The sequence below is a fragment of the Homo sapiens genome, chromosome 12, assembly GCF_000001405.40.
Source record: "Homo sapiens chromosome 12, GRCh38.p14 Primary Assembly".
NCBI lineage: Eukaryota > Metazoa > Chordata > Mammalia > Primates > Hominidae > Homo > Homo sapiens.
Genome location: NC_000012.12, coordinates 84,489,664 through 84,510,637, shown reverse-complemented (window position 1 = coordinate 84,510,637; position 20,974 = coordinate 84,489,664). Strand labels below are relative to the sequence as shown.

Sequence of the window (20,974 nt, the reverse complement as noted above, 5' to 3'; positions counted from 1 at the left end):
AGAAACATTAAACTCTAATGAATAATAGTCAAAATAAGAAATAAATATAAAATGGAGATATATCTGATTTGTAAATGGTAAGACTTAATATAGCAAAGATGTTTATTTCTTCAATATAACTTACAATTAAATCAAATTCTTTAATGTTTTCAATTTTATAGATTCTTATAAATATTATAAACTTATAATACATAATTTGATAAATTAAGCCAAATATTCATATAGAGAAGCAAAAAGCCCAAAATAGAAAATTTGAAATAGGAGAAAGAAGAGGGATAGAATATTAAGACATATTATAAAATTACAGTTACCATAAAATTATTATTAAAAGTAGACAAAATAAAATAATATGTAACTTTTGTAGGACTCAATTTCAGAGTTAAAAGTAGACAAAATAAAATGATATGTAACTTGTAGGACTCAATTTCAGAGTTAGAAGAATTTATGTGTATGCATGTGTGAAAAATGTACTATTAAATAATATTGCTGGGAAAATAGCTAGCCACATAAGAGTAATAAACTTGGATTTATACTTCCCACCATAACTAAAAGTATAGTCTGATATTTTAAATATTATTAGTCTTCTAGGGCTACTCCAACAAAGTGTCACAAACTGGGTGGTAAAAAACAGAAATTTATTATTTCACAGTTCTGGAGGCTAGAAGTCCAAATTCAAGATGTCGGCAGGCTCATGCTCCTTTGAAGACTCTGGGTAGAATACTACCTTCCTGTTTGTGGCTTCTAATAACCATTAATCCTTGGCACCCCTTGGCAGAAAGGCACCTCACAGCAATCTATGCCTCTTTCATCATATGGCATTATACTTATATTGGTCTCTGTCTCTGTGACCAAATTTCCTTCCTCTTATAAGGATACCAGTAATATGGGATTAAGGCTCTACACTACTCTAGTATGACCTGATTTTAACTTAACTAATTAGACCTACAGGAGACTTATTTCTAAATTAGATCAGATTCTTAAGGAGTAGGGATTAGAACTTCAACACATATTTTTGAATACACAATTCAACCTCTAACAGTCTGTTAGAGCAGGTAGCTAGACATGAGCAGGGCAGGAAAGACAGTGCCTGGGAATGCTGGGCATTTATCAAGTCACAGTCAGACGATTATAAATTGTCCCTCTGAAATAATGAGCAGGAAAAAGGGAGGTACCCCAGGGAGGGACTCCTTTCTCTTTTTTCCTTGGTATCTCATTGAGTGAAAGACAGGTGGGCATAAAACTATCCCTCTGAGATAATAACTGGCCATGACTGGTACTGGGAATGACAGGAGTGTTGCAACAGACAGAAAACCTGGAGTTAGTAAGCCATAATTCCTGATAAGGTTTCAAGCATGCCCAGTAAAAGGGTAGAAGATGGCAGAATTTGACCAGTATATGATATGACCTTCCTCTGGGTGTACTTGACCAGTAAGGGTGAATTGCCACTAACAAGTATGTACAGGGCCTGAGTAAACACACTGCACATGTGGCCCCTGACAAGTGCTGGCAGGCCACCTTATATGCAACAGTTAAGCAACAGCCCGCCCAGGGGAAGAAAGGGAGGAGATAGAGAGCCTGGGAAACATTATGGGGTATAAAATCTCTAGAGTCTAAACAAAAAAGAGAACAGGGAAGTCAATTTTTCAAGTCATCCACTTGGCCTTCTTCCCAGAGTATCCTACTTTCTCTAATAAATTCTCACTTTGCTTAAAAGAAATTCTCTCTCCTTCTTTAAACCTTGCCTGTGTCTCTCATTTGAATTCTCTGCGTTGAGAAGTCAAACTACCAAGTTTGCTGCAGAGTTGCCACTCTGGAGTTTCTTCGGACAGCTCACCAGCTGGTAATGTACTTCGGTGCCATGACTCAGATCCATCATCTAGTGGTAAGGCCCTGCAATGCCTCACGTTCTTCCACTAGAGGCATTCAAACCCTTGTATGTGGTTTCTTCTCCTTTCTCTTTTTTCCTTTTTGTCTCCTACCTTTTGCTTTCCCTTCCTCTCCCCTTTTTCTTCTTCCTGCCTGTTTCTTTCTTTTCCTTTTTCACTTCCCTTTGCCTTTCTCCTACCTACAAACTGTTCCCCAGAAGCACTCCCCTTGGCCACAGTGATTCTGTTCCCTCTGGTTTCTCAGGTCATCCTGATGGGTGACTCACAGAGGTGGGAGGAGTTTAGGGTCCTAAACTACTATGCCCCTCCCAACAGGGAGTGTGCAAGGGTGGTGGAGCTAAGCCTGCACTGTGAAATTTCTGGGGAACTTCCCTGCTTCTCCTTCAGCTAAAGTCAGCTCTTTCCCTAAACCTGCACCTGCACCATCTATTTTCCTGCTCTTTTCTCTGTACTCTGAAATGGCCTTGCACACTGGCAGGAATATTGGCCTCAAGGGCAAATCATCCTCCTATCTGCTCTCACTGTGTGCTTGCAAGTTCTTTTCCTGCTTGAAACATACACTCTCTGTTTGTCATTTGTGTGCTGGCAGCCCTTGTTGTGTCTGCCTGGCAACCAAGAGGCGGAAACCTTTATTGGTGTCCCCGGAGATCTGCACTTGATTTTACTCCCCCAGTCCAGATGATCTCCAGCCCATCTCCTGCCTCTTGGCTCACTGTCAAAACGAGCACTGGTGGGAGCCCTGGTTTTGTCAACTCCTGGTTGCTTACTATTCACTCTTTATCCCCATCATGTTCCAGGACTTAGTTTTCTGCTGGTTCTTAAAGAGCTTTATCAACTTTCACAGAACCTCCATTTGTGGTCCACTAAGGACATTCCCTACCTCAATACTGGGGCTAGTTTTTTTTGGGGGGGAATAAGCATTTTTTTTTCTGTGCCTGATGAGAGCTCTTATTCCAAACTCTCTGGTTCTCCAGGGCTTTCTCCTTTATGTCAAGAATGCTGACAAGCACTCTCTCTAGGGACCAGAAGCTGGTGTTTCTGTGAAAGCACAAGAGCTTTCCATGAGCATCCCCAATGCTTCCTTCCCTATCTGCCTATTACAGAGGGATTGCCCTGCTTATTTTAAACACTTCTTTTGCACATTGCCTATCAAGGGTAACATTTTCTTATTTTCTTCTGACGTTCTCCAACTCATTCTCAACATCAACAAAGATTGCCAAGGCAAGGCTATTCAGAGAAAAAGGGAGCCCAGCCTCATTACGGCTCTTGGCTGGAAACAGGGTCCTCATCTGCCTGAAAGGACCTGGGGAATGGGAACACAAAAGGATGGGAAATTATTTCATTGCTAGGATTCTCCGGACAAGGGTCAATGCAAGGTCCTAGAGTCAAGCATATAGGCCTACCTGAGGCCAAAAACACAGGAAACCAAATTATCCATAGGACAGAGATGAAGGCTGGTGCGAGGCTACAGGCACAGAACAGATTACCATTAGAACAGAGGTAAAGGTAAGGTTCAGGGTACCCGGTGATACCAGTTCATTCTGGAACCCCAGGGATGATTAGAGGGCCTTTGTTCATTCCCATATGCCCTCTGTTCTCAAGTGGATAATCGTGCCTCCTTAAAACAAGATGGAACGAAAATTAAGGGTACCCGGTGAGACTGGCTCATTCTGAAATCCCAGGGGTGAAAGACAAATGCCCTATTCAAGGATAATAGGGAAATAAAAGGGGGTGCCTTTTTTCCCCTTCTCTCCTCTGTTCTTTCTTTACAAATGGGTAATTGCATCTCCATACCACAGAACATGCCTCTCAGATATATCCTCAAGAACTGGAAAAAGTTTGACCCTCAAACTCTAAAGAAAAAAAGGCTAATATTTTTCTGTAACATAGCATGGGTTCGATACAAGCTCTGGGGCCAGAAATCTTGGCTGTAAAAGGAAGCATAAATTTTAATATGATGTATCAATTGGAATTGTTTTGCTGTTAGCAGAGGAAATGGACAGAAATCCCGTGTGCAGGCTTTTGTGGACCTAGGAAACAACCCTGACCTTCGTTGGGCTTATACACTGATCCAGCTATAGTATCAGTTAAACCCCACGGCCCCTTCTAACTCATTATATCCAAGTCTTTCAAAATCCTGGAGCCTTTCCCTCCCTAATCAGAGCTATTCTCAGAACACCTCCCCTTTGGCTTATGTTCCCTTCAGGACGTTAGCAGTCCCAGCTGGCCCACTAGGGTTCAGGCTCGATTCACTATGCAAGATCTGAGACAGATTACAGCAAACTAGGAAAGTGTATGGATGACTCTGACAAATACATTGAAGGGTTCCGTAAACTGGGCCTAACATTTGAGCTCACTTGGAAGAACCTCACAGTTATACTGGGCCACTTTCCAAGGGAGAATGTGACTCCATTATGGAGGCAGCCCAGCGATTTGCAAATGCAATGCAAATGATTAACCCTGGTGGCTACTCTGTAGGGGCCACCACAGTTCCCAGGTTGACCCCAACAGGGATTGCAATACCCAGGGCGGGTATTTGGGCAAGAATCCATGTGTCCATTGGTTTAATTGAGAGACAGAGCTAGCAGAAAAAATCCAGTAAACTATAATAAATTGTCCTTAATAAATCAAGGTCCTCTTGAAAACCCCACAATATTCATTGAGAGGCTACAAGATGCCCTCATGAAACCTAAACCCAGAAACACCAGAAGGGCAACTTGTCCTAAAGGGCTATTTGCTAATGCAAGCAGCCCCAGATATTCAGAAGAAATTCTGAAAACTATCACTGGGCCCCAACATCGTTATGCCTGACATCCTCAAAATAGCTTCCTCAGTCTTTTACAACTGGGGCTGGAAGGAAGAGGGAAGGGCTCAGGAAAAAAAAGATGCAAAAGGAAAGGTGGCAGCTTCAACTATTGGCTGCCTTACAAGTTCACTTGCCCCAGTAGGTTGCCCTGGGAATACTCCCCCAGGTAACTGCCATTGGTGTGGGAAGCCAGGCCACTGGAGGGCAAGCTGCCCCAATGGGGTAAATGGGAACAAACCCTGTATGGCTTGTCCCCTCTGCCACAAGCTTGACCACTTGAGACAAGACTGCCCTGAGGGCTGAAGGGCCCTTGGGACAGAATCCCAACTCCTGATGGCCTTGAGTTGAAGGGACCCTCTTTTCCAGCTGGCTCCCAGATCAAACATCATTATTGAAGGGATGGAGCCAAGGCCTTCTTTGGATGTGGCAGGTAGGACAATAACCTTCCTTTTGGATCGCATGCTACCTACTCAATTCTTACCTCTTTTCCTGACAATTATCCCAAGTCCTGCCAGGTAATGGGGATAAATGGGGTGTTCATAACCTGGAGGTTTACTTCTCTGTGCTGCCTGTTGGGGGAAACTCTTTTCTCATTCATTTTTAGTGATGCCAGAATGCCCTACATCTCTTTTGTGCAGAGATATATTGTTCAGACTAGAAGGTCAATTACTTTTTTTGCAGGGCCAACTCCTACTTTTCCAAATGCAATCTTATGCCTCAAAGAGACCACACACAGGGATGAACTGCCCACAGATCTTCCCAATAACCTGGAAGTTTGGGACACAAGACTACAAAGGAAGGGCTATAACGTCAATTCCAGTAGTAATTCAGCTCAAAAGCCCTTCTAGCTGTCCTTGTAGAAAGCACTTTCCTCTTCTACCAGAGGCCAAAGAAAGACTTTGGCTCTTGATTGAGAAGTTTCTAAAACATGGACTGTGGTGATACAGCTCACCCTGTAACCATTCCAGTCTTCCCATTAAAAAGACCAATGGTGAATACAGACTAGTTCAGGACTTACAAATAATAAATGAGGTAGTAGTCCCAATACATCCTATGGTCTCCAACCCATATGTAATTCTAGGGAAATTACCTCCAGATGCTCAGTGGTTTTCAGTCCCAGACCTCAAGGATGCCTTCTTTTGTGTCCCCCTAGACCTGCTGTTGCTGTCTCAATTTCTCTTTGCATTTGAAAGGGATAATGAAAAATGTAGGTGTCAACATCTTACCTGGAATCTTACTTGGACAGTGCTTCCATGAGGTTTGAGAGATAGTTCCATTTGTTTGGGCAAGCCTTGGCTAAAGATTTGCAGGATCTAACTCTTATGGGGGGAGGGGGCACATCTCCTACAGTACATGGATGACTGTTAATCTGCTTCCTGACAAGAGAGTTGGGAATCCAACATTTAGTCCAGACAGGGATTTTCTTGCAGACCAGGGATACAAAGTGTTGGAGGCCAAGGCACAGCTACTAAGACAGGGGGTCAAATACCTGGGAATAATTATGACCCTTGGAGAATGTAAGCTCTCCCGAGAATGGATACAGGTTATTCTTAAGACAGCTACCTGGAGCACCCAAAAGCAGCTGCAGGCCTTTCTGGGAATCACGGAATATTAGAAACTGAATACTGGGTTATGGTGGAATTAAGTCCTTATATCAGGCTCTAACAAAAGGGACGGATAGGGACCCACTTCTCTGGGAGAAGAATCAAGAGCAAACCTTTAGGCAGCTAAAAACTGCCGTCTTACAAGCCCTAACCTTTGGGCTACCTATACTAAGCAAACCATTTCAACTGTTTATCACTGAAAGGCAAGGTGTAGCCCTAGGAGGTCTAACTCAAACCATTGGGCCAATCAAATGTCCATAAGGTAATTTTTCAAAGTACCTAGACCAAGTTGCACAGGGGTGTTTGCACAGGGGTGGTCACACAGTCTCAAGGAAGTGGCTGCAGCAGTCCTCCTACTTGGGGAGGCCTTTGAAATCACCATGGGGCAGTCAACCCAGCTCCTAATGTTCCACCAAGTTGGCCCCTTACTGGACAAAAAAGGGCCACAGTGGCTCACTGACAGCAGATTGTTGAAGTACCAGGTTTTGTTATTAAAAAACCTGCAGGTAACAGTTGAGTGGTGCTAGACCCTCAACCCAGCCACCCTCTTGCCCCTACCAAGAGACAATAACCTGGCACATTCATGCTGTGAAGTACTCAGCCAAATTTATGCCAGCAGGGCTGACTTAAAGGACCAACCCTTGGGAAATCCCATCAAAATATGATTTTCAGATGGAAGCAGTTTTGTCTGGAATGGAACTAGACATGCAGGATAATGCTTTGGTGTACCTCTACCAAGTGACCGAAGCTAGAGCTTTATCCCCAGGGACCTCAGTTAACTAGAGCTTAACTCACTATGCTAACCAGAGCCCTAAAACTAGGGGAATGAAAAAGAATAACCATTTATACAGACTCCAAACATGCTTCTTTGATCCTTCCCACCCAGGCAGCTATCTGGAAGGAAAGGGAATATTCCTATTAAGTACAGGCCTCAAATCTTAGAGCTGCTAGAGTCTGTTCATTTGCCCCAGAAGGTGGCAGTAGTGCACTACAAGGGACACCAGAGGGCCACGATGAAACCGCACAAGAAAATAGTTTGGCTGACCAGAAAACTAAAGAAGCAACTGTTCCAAAGTTTACATTTCTGGGAGCCTTGCTCCCTTCTCTCCCCACTGAACTACCCCCACTCCAGTACACCCAGGAAGAAATAGATTTGGACCACCCAACAGGGATATCAAAAAGAAACCAATGGATGGTACAGCCTGGGGGCACTTTTCCATCTGCCAAAGGCCTCCCAGTGGAAGGTCATCCAGAGTCTGCATGACTCCTGCTACTTTGGAAAGGACAGTCTAGGGAAAATTTGTAAGTGGGTGTTTAGCAGGAGGGGACTGAACAAGGCTATTGAGAAGGCTTGTCAGGCTTGCTCCTTGTGTGCCATAAATAATCCCCAGAGAGGGAAGCCTCCTCCATTAATAAGTCCGATCCAAAGAAGAGGTAAATACCCTGGAGATGGGAAGATGGATTTCACTCAGATCCCCACATGCCATAGATATAATTACCTCTTAAACTGTGTAGATAATTTCACATGATGGGTAGAGACCTGTTGCACAAAGACTGAGAAGGCACAGTTAAGTAGCTGAATTCCTCCTCAAGGAACTTATTCCCCGATTTGGCTTCCTAGGTCATTGCAAAATGACAATGGCCCATCCTTAATTCCCCAAATGACTCAACAGGTTAGTAATGCCCTTGGCATGAAATGATACCTTTAGTCTGCCTGGAGACCACAATCTTCAGGAAAGGTGGAAGGAAATAACCAAGCCCTCAAACACATCCTCAATAAACTGTGTCAGGAAACAGCAAGTCATGGGTGGACCTCTGACCTCTAGCCCTCCTTTGAATCCATGTTGCCCCTAAGGCTTCTTTACAATTAAGCCCCTAGTAGGCCTTATATGATAGACCATTCCTATATTCTGACTTATTGCTAGATGAAGAAACTACCAAAGTCACCCAGTATGTCTGTTCTATGGCAGGCTTCCAACAGGCCTCCGGGAATACTGGTTACAAATAAACCCAAAATTGAAAGAGGAAAAAGCTCAGACTTTATACCCTCCAGGCTCACTAGTTCTCATGAAAGGTTGGAAGGATGGAACCCTGAAATCCCAACTAACTGGAAGGTCTGGAAGGTCCCCTTCACTGTTCTATTATCTACTCCCATAGCTATTAAAGTACCAGAGGTTGCCATCCAGATACACTATACTTAAGTGAAGTGAAGCTGAGGTCCAAGACAAGGGACTGAGATTCCTGCAGAGGTGTCACTCTGGAGTTCTCTGGATAGTTGCCGACTCACCCACCAATAATAAGTCTACCTCCCGACTCTCCAAAATTTGTGTCCTTCCCCTGTGCAAAATATATCCATCAATCCCAGTATCTCCAAGATCCTGCATTAACTCTAAGTCTAAAGTCTTATCTAAATATCATCAGTTCAAAGTCCAAAGTCTCATCATCTAAATCATTTAAACCAGTGTGGGTGAGACTTGATGTATGATTCATCCTGGAGCAAAAATCTCCCTTTACCTGTAAACCTGTAACACCAGACAAGTTATCACCTTCTACGTTAAATAGGGAGACAAGCATATAATAAATATCCACATTCCAAAAGGAAGAAATTAGAAGAAATAAAGACATTACAGTCCCTGAACAAGTTCAAACACCAACAGAGCAAATTCTGTCAGATTTCAAGGCCTGAGACTCATCCTCTGTGGCCCCATGCTTTGTCTTCTGGGTCCACTGGGTGACCATTAATCCTTAGCTGTCCTGGACTCCCAGCTGTATCATACATGGCATTCTCCCTGTCCATCTCTGTCTCTGTTTTCAAATTCCGCCCCCCCCTTTTTTTTTTTTTATTAAGGATACTAGTGATATTGGACTAAGACCTTACCCTACTCCAGAATGACCTCATTTTAACTTAACTAATTTCATTTATAACACTTTTCAAATTAGGTCAAATTCTGAGAGAATAGGCGTTAGAATCCCAACATATAATTTTGGAGGGATGAAATTCAACCCATAGTAAATATGTGCATTTCTAAGGCAAAATTACAAAAAAAAAAAATAGCTTGAAAGAAAATATAAAAATACTTTTAGACATTATGGTACACGAAAATTTTCTTAAAAGACCCAAAATCTAAAATAATAAACTATAAACTTGCCTACACTAAAGTTATATACTTCTGCATAAAGCAATTATTTTACCACTTGATGACAAAATCTGCATTCTCAGAAAAGCATATAGAATTTGCACTGCTCAATAAAGTAATAGCAATTTGATTATGTAAAAATAATTACAGCAAAACTCCCACACGTTAACAAAAAGGCAAATTATTTTAAAATGTGGAAATATGAGAACTGAATTCACAGAAGGTGCTGAAAATCACTAGAAATCTGAATACTCAATTTGAACAGGAGCTAACTAATCATTCATTTGATTGACATGAAAATAAAAATACGACACTGTCAGCATGTAAGAATGTGAGATACATGATTTTCTCAGTAATGCTAAGAGGAGAATAAATTGATAAAGTCATCTTGAAAAACAACTTAAGTGTATGTTATAAAAATTATAATGTAAATGTCTCATCCTTTGATTCATTTGTAAGGTTATATTTGTATCGGTTAGCTAGTACCATGACAATGCTATATAAAAAACACCCCAAAACTGAATGGTTCAAAGCAAAACTTATTTATTCTCATGGATCTGTGGGTCAGCTTAACCATGCTTTTAAAAGAGTGTTAGCAAAGCACAGATGACCAAGCAGTAATCATTTGAGGCCACATAAGGTTATGTGCAGAACTAGCACACTGTCACTTCCATCCTCATCATTGACCAAAGCCAACAGAAGTGCACTTAACCCTTTTTTTTTTAATGAGAAAAACTACAAAATTATCTATCAAAGCACACAGACACAAGGAGGAATAGAGAATGTTCACCAATAATTCCTTTGAAAGCAGTGTATTCTCCTGGTCATAATCATAATATTTAAAAACTTAGTAAAACACAGTCATCTCAGGACACCTAATCTAATCACATCAGCAGGCCTGAAGTTTAAGATCCTACAATCTATAACAAGTTTAGATGAGTTCTTCATGATTCAATGATTTATGAATTTAAGAGGAAACATTCTCCCAACATGCAATGGTAGGAAAGGGTAAGTATATTCTCAATAACAACTCAAATTTAGTACATTTGAGATATGTATTAGTCGCTTATCCATTATTCATAAACTTTGTGAAATCCTGTTGGACAAACGATGCTATGTCTTGGTATCTGTGAGGTATAAAATGCATTTTACATGCTGATTCTGCTTCCTGGGTCTAATTCACCATTCCATTATTCTCCGAGGTTCTTTGATCTGCCCTCAGGAACGTATTTCTCTTTTCATAGTTTTCTTTGGCCATTCCTAGAGAATTGTAAAATATGCCTTTTGGTGGATGAACCACTTTTTTCTATTCTTCTTCGTGCCTATAGAAAGTTGAAGACCAAGATAACTTTTCTCATCTTGAACCATCTCAGTCAAAGCATGATTTACATTTCGTTTTTTAAAAGAAACGTAAATCTTGTAAACATTTTTTACATTTCTTTTAAAATTTTCGTGGGCTTTCTACGTATTTGATTTCAGTCAACTTTATTTACCACAATCTATACTCATATTTTTAGATACATTTCTTTCCTTCTAGATATAAGTACAAGTAATGTAGGCACCATGACCTTCAGCAAAACCATGTACTTATTCCTTTTGTAAGTCACTTGGCCCAAATGAAAAGATTAACTAGATGTCATCTTAATTATTTCACAAATGTTATTAAAATGATTCCTTTGACATTGATTATTTCTGTGTTTTAAGGCTGTATCTTAGTTTGAGAATATTTTATGACTGAAGAGATAGGAAATAAGAGACTTTTATTTTCCCATCCATAATGTTCTGGGTTCTCTCCATTACCTCTAATTCTGCTTGCAATCTGTTCAAATCTTTTTGAGCTTATCAATTTATTGTGGGTAGTTATGTTATGTAGCAGGAAGTTCAAACTTTCAACATTTTGCCTAGAAATCATTTCACCATAAGTTCATTTGGTATTTTCTATTATTAATTGACTAAAAATGAAAGAACACACACACATGCACACATACACACACACACTTTATGTGTGGATTTATATCAGATCTTTCTTGCAACAAAAACATCATGATACTATTATGCAGCATTTTCCAGAATTGTGTCATCAGTAAACAATTTTTTTAGTCTGTATGATATTTTTATTATTGCTCTAGAAATATCCACTGGTTTTATGATATAAATCAGGATATACATTAAAGATTTTAAGCCACACTCTATTCAGACATATACAGGGAAATATGAAATGCTTGAATGAAGTTTATGAATGCCGTCTTTTACATTTGTATAGGTTCTTTGTATTCAGCATGACAAAAAGCTAATTGTAATCTAAGAATAATTATATGGAACCTATGGGAATATAAATGTCATACACATATTTTTACAGTTATTCTTTGAAACAAATGGGTTTCAAAGTTTGAATAGTGTAGAGCACAGAGCACTTGTAAATAACTAAACATCACTGGGTATATCCCAATAGAAGAATTTGCCTTTTATAAACATTGGAAAAAGTAAACCTTCAAAACATAGACGCTTTTTGTAAATTATGTGGTTCCATGTGCAGTTTGGCTAAATTAAAATTTAAAGATTGAGTATAAAAGTATGTAATACTATAAAATTAGTTTACTATAGTACTTTCTTAAAACACATGCTAACATAGTAACTAAAAGTTCACAAAATTGCTGAAACATTACAGATCCTTGCCACATCATTGATACTGTTTTACACATTTTTTTTAGTTTACCCCACCTGTGTTTAACAAAGAGGCCACCATCTCACCTTGAGGTAGGTATTCTATTTGTATCTAGAATTTGCTCCATATTTGAAACATTAAGGTATTACTTATTAGTCACTACTTAAGTTACCAGATAGGGGTCCAAATATTGACTAAATTAGTCTTTTTTCCATTCTATACAGCATAATAAAATGTATGAAAGAGACATATTGTTGCGTGTAGCCTTCTTAGAGTAATGCAATCTCTGTGACTGGGAAACCCGGTATTGAATCCTGATTGCATGTTGTACTAAATGTTCTGAGTCAGAGACTATCTTTCTAAGCCTCTGTGTCTTCTGCCTTCACTAATGAATGTTTGATTATCATTAGTACATTGTTTAAAAAATAATTTTAAATTATTTCTCCTATATACAGCTTAGTGATTCTGAGATTCTGCAAATTTCATTTCTCCATTATCAGCTAATTCCTGTTGGACTCTGCCAACAGGGGGCTCTAGTGGGCAATTAGAAGACAGGAGAAAATACATGTCCATTTCCTTGCTGTTTCTGGCAGGAAGCTTCAGCAACAGCCTTTCCATTGACAAAGGCAGTTGCTTCCAGTTTTCAAATTTTGTATATTATATTTATTTTTACACGACTCCCAGAACTAGGCTTACTATGCTGTTCTTTCAAATTTCTGAGATACCAACACTACCAACCAGGTGTTACCTCTCCTCAGAGGTCTGAATTTTAGCTCTCTGGTACCCCTGTTCCAGGCTTATATTTTGACAACTTCAACTGCCCATCCTGAGGGAAGAATAGTGATCAGTGGTAGTTTACAGTGTTTGCTATCTCATATTTTCTGTTTCTTTTTTACTCTTTTGATTCTCCAAAACATTTATAACTGCTTATTTATATCAAACTATTTTAGTCTTAAAACCTAGTGAAGTTCTGCTTCCTAATAAGACCATAGGTGATACTTCCTAAGGTTTTGTGAGAACAAAATTCATTTACCTTTGTGAGGTAAATAAGTGATGCTATGATCACCTGTGGCCCTGTGGGCCTATGGTCCTGTTAGCTTTCATTATTGGATTAATTTTTTTGATTCTCAAAGATTCATTTCTTAACCTATTTCATTTGCACCCAAATCAGTGCTTTTTCAGTGGGTGAGCTTCATATTATATTGTGAAATCTCTGAACAAGTTCTGCCTTTTAAAAATCATATGTACACATTTTTAAACAAGTTGCTTTCTTTTTCTTGAGATTGTTATGATTATTTTATAGTGAGATATTTTACATGTTTCACAATGTTTGACTTTTCCTTTGTTCCCTTGTTATCCTAAGCTATTAGACATTCAAATAACCTATAGAAGATAGACTTAATTTTTAAAATCAGTGCTAATTAGGAAAGGAATATAATAGTAAATTCTGTTAGTGAAAATTTGTTCTTCTCAAGTAAAGTATTTGCAGTTCTTGCTATGCATTTATGCTTAAGTACTAGTTTAAAGATAACAAATTATTTTACACTTTTTAATTTTTTTAACTAAGTGAAGAAAAATTCAGCATTTGCCAAATGTTTACATTTACCCAGATTTCCATTTTTAGTGCCTTTTTCTCTAAAAAAAAAAAAAAGTCTAATCCATCCAACCACGTTATTTTGTGGACATTTACAGATAGATTGCAAAGGTTATATAAACAGGCAAAAGACCCAGAGTAGCCAATATAACATTAACGAAGAACAAAGATTGACATTACCCAACTTTAAGCCTTATCATAAAAACTAAAGTAATCAAGAGAGTGTGGTATTGATAAACTAATAAACAAAATAATGCATAGAATTCAATAAAGAGCCTAGGAATAGACTCACACCAATATAGTAAACTAACTTTTGGTAAAGAAGCAAAGGCAATTGATTGGAGAAAAGATTATATTTTCAACAAATGGTAATGGGCCAACTGGATATCCACATGCAAAAAACAAACACCAAAACTAAATGTGGATATGTATTTGATAGACATAAATGTAAATGCAAAATTATACAACTTCTAGAAGATAATCTTGGGTTTGGTGATGAGTTTCTAGGTATAACAATTTATAACAAAACAGAAAACAAGTTGTTACAGTGGATTTTATTAAAATTGAAAACTTCTACTCTGTTAAAATTAAAGGAATATAAATACACACCACAGACTGGGGAAAGTATTGGCAAAACACATAACAGGAAAACATCTATCTGATACATCCTTTATCACATGTATTTGTACATCAGAAATATACAAAGAGCTCTTAAAACTCAGCATAAAAAACAATCTAAATAAAATAAGAGCAAAACAACATGAACATATGAATACTTTGCTAAGGAAGATATATAGAGGGCAGATAGGCAAATGAAAAGATACTCAACATCATATGTCATTTAAAAAATGCAAATTAAAACAACGATGAAATACCACTTTACACCTATTAGAATGGCTAAAAACCAAAACACAGGCAAGACCAAATGCTGACAAGAATGTGGAACAACAGGAACTTTAATTCAATTTTGTTGAAAATTCAATACGGCACAGTTGCTTTGGAACACAGTTTGGCAGTTTCTTATAAGCTAAACATAGGCTTACAATATGATCCAGCAATTATGTGCTCCTAAGTACTGATACAAATTAGTTGACAACTTATGTCCACACAAAAACTTGCACATGGATGTTTATAGCAGCTTTATTCATAATTGCTTTAGCTTGGAAGCAACCACAATATCCTTTAGGAGATGGATGGATAAACTCTGTTACATACACATAATGAAAAATGAAATATCGTTCAGTGATAATAAGGAATTAGCTATCAAACTACATAAAGACATAGAAGGACCTTAAATACGCATGACTCAGTGAAAGAATCCAGTCTGAAAAGGCTATATGTTGTATTTTTTCCAATGATATGATATTCTGGAAAAGAAAAACTATAGAAATAGTTAAACAGTCATTGGTTGCCAGAGGTTTGAAGAGAAGGAGGGAGGTAGGGATGGGTAGAAAGAAGGGGAGTTTTAGGGCACTTAACCATTCTGTTAGATATTGTAATAGTGAATATATGATATTGTGCATTTGTCAAAACCCATAGAACTATATAACACAAATTGTGAATCCTAATGTAAAACATGGATTTTAGTGGATAATTACGTGTTAATAGTGGTTCATCAATTCTAACAAATATATCACATTAATAAAAGGTACTAATAGTAAGGTAAATGGTGTGTGGGAGAAGAGAAGCTCTGTGGAAACTCTTTAAGTTCTTCTCAATTTTTCTGTAACCGTAAATGTTGCTCTGAAACATAAATATATTAATTTTCTCTTTAAAAACCATGTATTTTCTGCTACTAGAATATAACAAGCTGGTTACTATACTGTACTATGTGTTATTAGATGTTTAGATAATGCATTCTCCTTTATTTACTTTTTGTTTCAGTTACATTTAATGTGGAAAATATTAATATGTGTATATCTAGTACATAGATATTGCCAGTACTCCATCATAAGTAAAAATTTAATTCTGAGTAATGCTGCCAGGTTACAAAGAATGTTTTATGGATATGTATTTTAAAGATAATGCTGTTGAACTATCATCATAAATATGATATACTTAAAATATTCCCTTTTGCATATTAGTGAAAGATTATAAATGTTCTATATTTTTAAATCATCCATCCCTTTGTAAATAAGATAAAATAATGTATGAACAATCTCAGGGCAAGACATCTGTATATGACTGAGATAATTTCTTAATTGTAGAAAGGTATCTATATTAGTTCCCTAATACTGTCATAACAACTTACCCCAAACTAGATGGCTTAAAACTACATAATTTTATTCTCTCTCAATTTTGGAAGCCAGAAGTCTAAAATCGGGATTTTGGCAGGACCACTACTCTTCTGAAGAAGCTAGAGAAGAATATCTTCTTTGCTTCTTCCAAGCTTCTGGTTGTACCCATAACCCATGGTGTTCCTTGGCTTTTAGCTGCATCAATCCAAGCCCTGCCACTGTTGACAAATAGCTGTTTTCCCCATGTCTGTCTCTGAATCTTTCTCCTTTTTTCATAAAGACTTCAGTCACTGGATTTAGGGACCACTCTTATCACCTATGATCTTATCCAAACTTAGTTAATTATTACATCTGTAAAGATTGCATTTTCAAATAAGTTTATATTCTGAAATTTTAAGTAGAAAAAAATTGGAATGTGGGGGCATTTTTCAACCCCATATAGTACCCTTCTGCTAATCATATCTGTGTAGCTTGCTTATTTAGTATTGTCTTCCCATGAGTTTGAATGATATACCTTTTTTTCTAATGTATGCTTTATAATTAATTCTAATGAGAGACTACAGGATAGACACTTTTATACAGTGATAAAAGGGTGACTTTTAATTGGGTCTTAATTTGCCTTTTATCCCTAACTGAAACTTAATTGTGTTTAGCAATGAAAAATAATTTTATATCAAGTAGGTTATAATAATTGAAGATAATGTAAAAGACTATTTTATACAAGAGTGTTTACCTTATAATTCATTCCAAATTTCTTAAACTGTTTAATGATCTCAACTTAGCCTGCATTTGGATATTTTAATGCAATTTAACTTTATTTTCTGTGCCAGAGGGCTTATCAATATTTCCATGTTTGTATGTCAATCCAATAAAATTATCACTTTAAGTACAAAAAATAAAGATACAATGACATATGAAAAGCTAAGATTTTAACATAGATTGATTTAATTTATTGGATCATATAATGATAAAAAAAGCATAATCTGCTTATGGATAATGTGTTCACTATATAAATATATAAAGGGTCTCATGAATATCATACTTGTAAATTTATTCCATAGTATTCTTTGTTGTTTATTTTCACTGACTTCTTTCAATAACTCAGATTTACAGTTGTCAGATAAATTTTTATTTTTTTGAGATGGAGTCTTGCTCTGTCGCCCAGGCTGGAGTGCAGTGGTGCAATCTTGGCTCATTGCAATCTCTGCCTCCTGGGTTCAAGTGATTCTCCTGCCTCAGCCTCCTGAGTAGCTGGGATTATAGGCATGAGCCACCATGCCTGGCTAATTTTTCTATTTTTAGTAGAGACGGGGTTTCACCATGTTGGTCAGGCTGGTCTCTAACTCCTGACCTCATGATCCACCCACCTTGGCCTCCCAAAGTGCTGGGATTCCAGGTGTGAGCCACTGCGATTGGTCTGTCAGATAAATTTTTAAGAGAAAAGAAATATCTCCAAGCTATATATCATTACCTGAGGACATGTGTTTTAATATAGGTAGTTCTGTACCATGTTAAACAATATTTCTGACTGAAGTTAATTAAAATAACATTAAACAAAAATTGAAAATCATGCTACGTTAATGTTCTTCCTACCTTTAAAGTTTATCTTGAAAGTTCCTAGGAAAAGTCAGCTATTTGCTGATAAGATTTACAAAAATTAACAATAAAAGTAATCCTGAGAATGGATATATTACCAGTAAATTTCCTACACCTTGGTTGCCAATGTTCGCTCACTGAAGTAACTTGCTATACTAAATGCATTCTTTCTGCTTCTCCAAGAAGCAGACATCCAGACAGCATTAGATCTGCAAGAGATTTATTGGAGAAAATGACTGTGAAGAATAGAAGAAAAACTTCAGACCACAATGCAGATTTGACCTGTGTGAAGAAGAGTGGAAAGAAGGAGGTTTGAGCAGAAAAAGCATCAGACTACAGTGAAGTTCTGAGAAAAATATGGCCAGGGTAAAGCATCCTCCAGTCAAAGTCACCTGTCAGAGGAGTCCTACTTTCCAAAGGAATGACTCAGCATCTTACAGAGTTCTCTCAGTAATTGGCTGGGAGCAGCATAGGAGAAGGAGAGCTTTGATATAGATGTGAGTCTACAGAAGCCTCAGCTGGGATTGTCAGTCAACTATTCTCCCTAAAGCAGGAGATTTGAGTGGCTTATTTCCATGGCCACTACTCAATAAGTAGTACAGAGGCTTAAGCAATCCACCACGGCCTCACAAGTATTTAGGACCAAAGGCTCATACCACCACACAGAGCTAATCTTTATTTTTTTAATTTCGTAGGGTCAGAGGTCTCACTATATTGTCCAGACTGCTCTCGAAGTCCTGGGCTCAAGAAATTCTCCTGCTTTGGCCTCCCCTCAAAGTGCTTGGATTACAGGCATTAGACACTGTGCCCAGCCAGTATTTTTTTTAACCAAAGAGGAGAATCTTGTTGAGTCTTCTGAAATGACATTTTAACATCTTTCTTTTGATGTAGACTTTGATGATGCTTTATTGCTTCTTTATTTCATAAATTGACTTTATTTTAACTTGTAAAATATCAAACTACCAAAATTCCAGAGAATACTTCAAAAAATTTCTGGATACCTAAGATTTATCTTTATTGTTTATTTAAACCTTTGGGTCAGCCGTTTTCTTCCTCTATTGGGGAATCTTTTATTTCTATCATCCTGCCTTAGCTCCAGATTTTTTTTTAAATTTTATTTTAAAGTATATGAGTAGATTACTTGGGCATAAAATGTTACCGTAATGCTGAACATCAGATGTCTTCTACTCTTCTTGTTTTAAAACATTATAGAAGACTTTTACATCAAAACTAGGATGAAAATATTAAAAAGTGGTTGTAGAAATGAATTATAAATAACGTTTTTTCTTCTGATTGTGTTTGAAAACTATAAATTCTCTCAGATGAATAATATTTATTATAACATAAATGTTTTAGTCATATAGATATTTAAAGATCACTGAATTTAATAGTAATACATCACTTCCAGTTTTGTTATTTTAATTATAATATGATTATTTTATGACATATCAAAAATGGGTTAGAATTAATCTCTATAACATTTTAAACTAGAAAATTTTAATATAGCTCTTCAAAATTAGATTTATGTATCCAATATACAAAACTTGGATGAGTGTAATTTATTCATAGGATGATTTCTAACTATCAGTGGGGGCACCCCTCATTTATTAAAGCAATTCATTTAATGAATTCTCAACAAATTCTGCCTTGGGCTGGATATGCATAATTTGTATCCAGTGAAAATTAGATATCTTCATCTCAGGAAGTATTTTACCTAAAAATAAAAGAAAATATTGACTTTATACTACTCTTATTTTTTCTGATTCTTTTCATTATTTCAGATGAATTTCATTATGGTCTTGTTCCAGGTTGTTCACGTTAAAACCTATTTCAATCAACATGATTTTTCTTTCTTTTTTTTTTTTTCTTTTTTTTGAGACGTAGTCTCGCTGTCACCCAGGCTAGAGTGCAATAGCACAATCTCTGCTCACTGCAACCTCCAACTCCTGGGTTCAAGTGATTCTCCTGCCTCAGACTCTCAAGTAACTGGGTTTACAAGTGCCTGCCACCACTCCTGACTATTTTTTTCTATTTTTAGTAGAGTCGAGGTTTCACCATGTTGACCAGGCTGATCATGAACTCCTGACCTCAGGAGATCCACCTGCCTTGCTCTCCCAAAGTGCTGGGATTACAGGCATGAGCCACCGTGCCCGGCCAACACTATTTTTCCTTTGTACTTCTTGCTACTTTATTGAAATGAGCATGTTGCTATATCAAATTGAGCTCTAACACTTAATAGTTAAGTAAACTTGGGAACGTTTTTTTTTTTTGTATCAGTTTTGATAATATTTAGGTATATACCTATGAAAAAGACTGCTAACTCAAACCTAAGATTTGTTTTCCTCCTGATTTAGAATAAGATAACATTTGAAATAACTCCAGTTTCCTTTGTGACTACCTATGGCTGAGTATAATATGGCTTTTGAGATACAGGAAAAGGGAAGTGTATAAAATTCAGGACGGTTCTTTTAAGACACAGCTTGTGTCTCCTTTTTCCCCCTTTTCTTTTTCTGATTGACTAAAATGTAGATGTCAAGTCTGGAGCATCCAAATAAATCTTGAGGAGACTTGGAGAATATAAACTCTGCAGGGTGGAACAAAATAATAGAAAGTTATGTCATGGAAGATTTTGTGGAATTTAGCCTCAATACAAGCTCTGAACTAATTTTTCCTCCCTAAAAATAGTAGTAAATTGAAACCACTATATTTTCTTTTCAGATCTCCTTCTTCATTTTTTATAAATTTCTCAATTATCTGTATAAGAATAAATATTTATAGAGACAGATTCTTGATCCAGGTGCTTATAATCAAATCTTGCTTTTAACACTTAATAATAGCTGTGTAAACTTGGGCAAGACATTTTGCCTATTTGTGTTTTGGTTCACAATAGCAAAGACTTGGAACCAACCCAAACGTCCATCAGTGATAGACTGGATTAAGAAAATGTGGCACATATACACCATGGAATACTATGCAGCCATAAAAAGGATGAGTTCATGTCCTTTGTAGGGACATGGATGAAGCTGGAAACCATCATTCTCAGCAAACTATCGCAAGGACAAAAAACCAAACACCGCATGTTCTCACTCATAGGTGGGAATTGAACAATGAGAACACTTGGACACAGGAAGGGGAACATCACACACTGGGGCCTGTCATATGGTGGGGGGAGGGGGGAGGGATAGCATTAGGAGATATACCTAATGCTAAATGATGAGTTAATGGGTGCAGCACACCAACATGGCACATGTATACATATGTAAGAAACCTGCACGTTGTGCACATGTACCCTAGAACTTAAAGTATAATAAAAATAAATAAATGAATACATATGTTCGAAGAACTAAAATCACATCTAAAAAGAATACCTATCTAATTGGGTTTCCTTAAACCCTTAAAATGGTACTTTATACAAATTAATTGATACATGATTATTGTTATTCAGCAGT

The 20,974-nt window shown here is 37.4% G+C and overlaps 1 long non-coding RNA gene across 1 annotated transcript; it reads left to right on the top strand.

The window, feature by feature from the left end:
• Positions 1–1,731: 1,731 nt before the first annotated feature.
• Positions 1,732–18,241, top strand: LOC105369875 (uncharacterized). Its single transcript, XR_945151.2, has 3 exons — positions 1,732–1,882; positions 12,145–12,190; positions 17,709–18,241. It is a non-coding gene; the product is annotated as an uncharacterized LOC105369875 (long non-coding RNA).
• Positions 18,242–20,974: the final 2,733 nt, after the last annotated feature.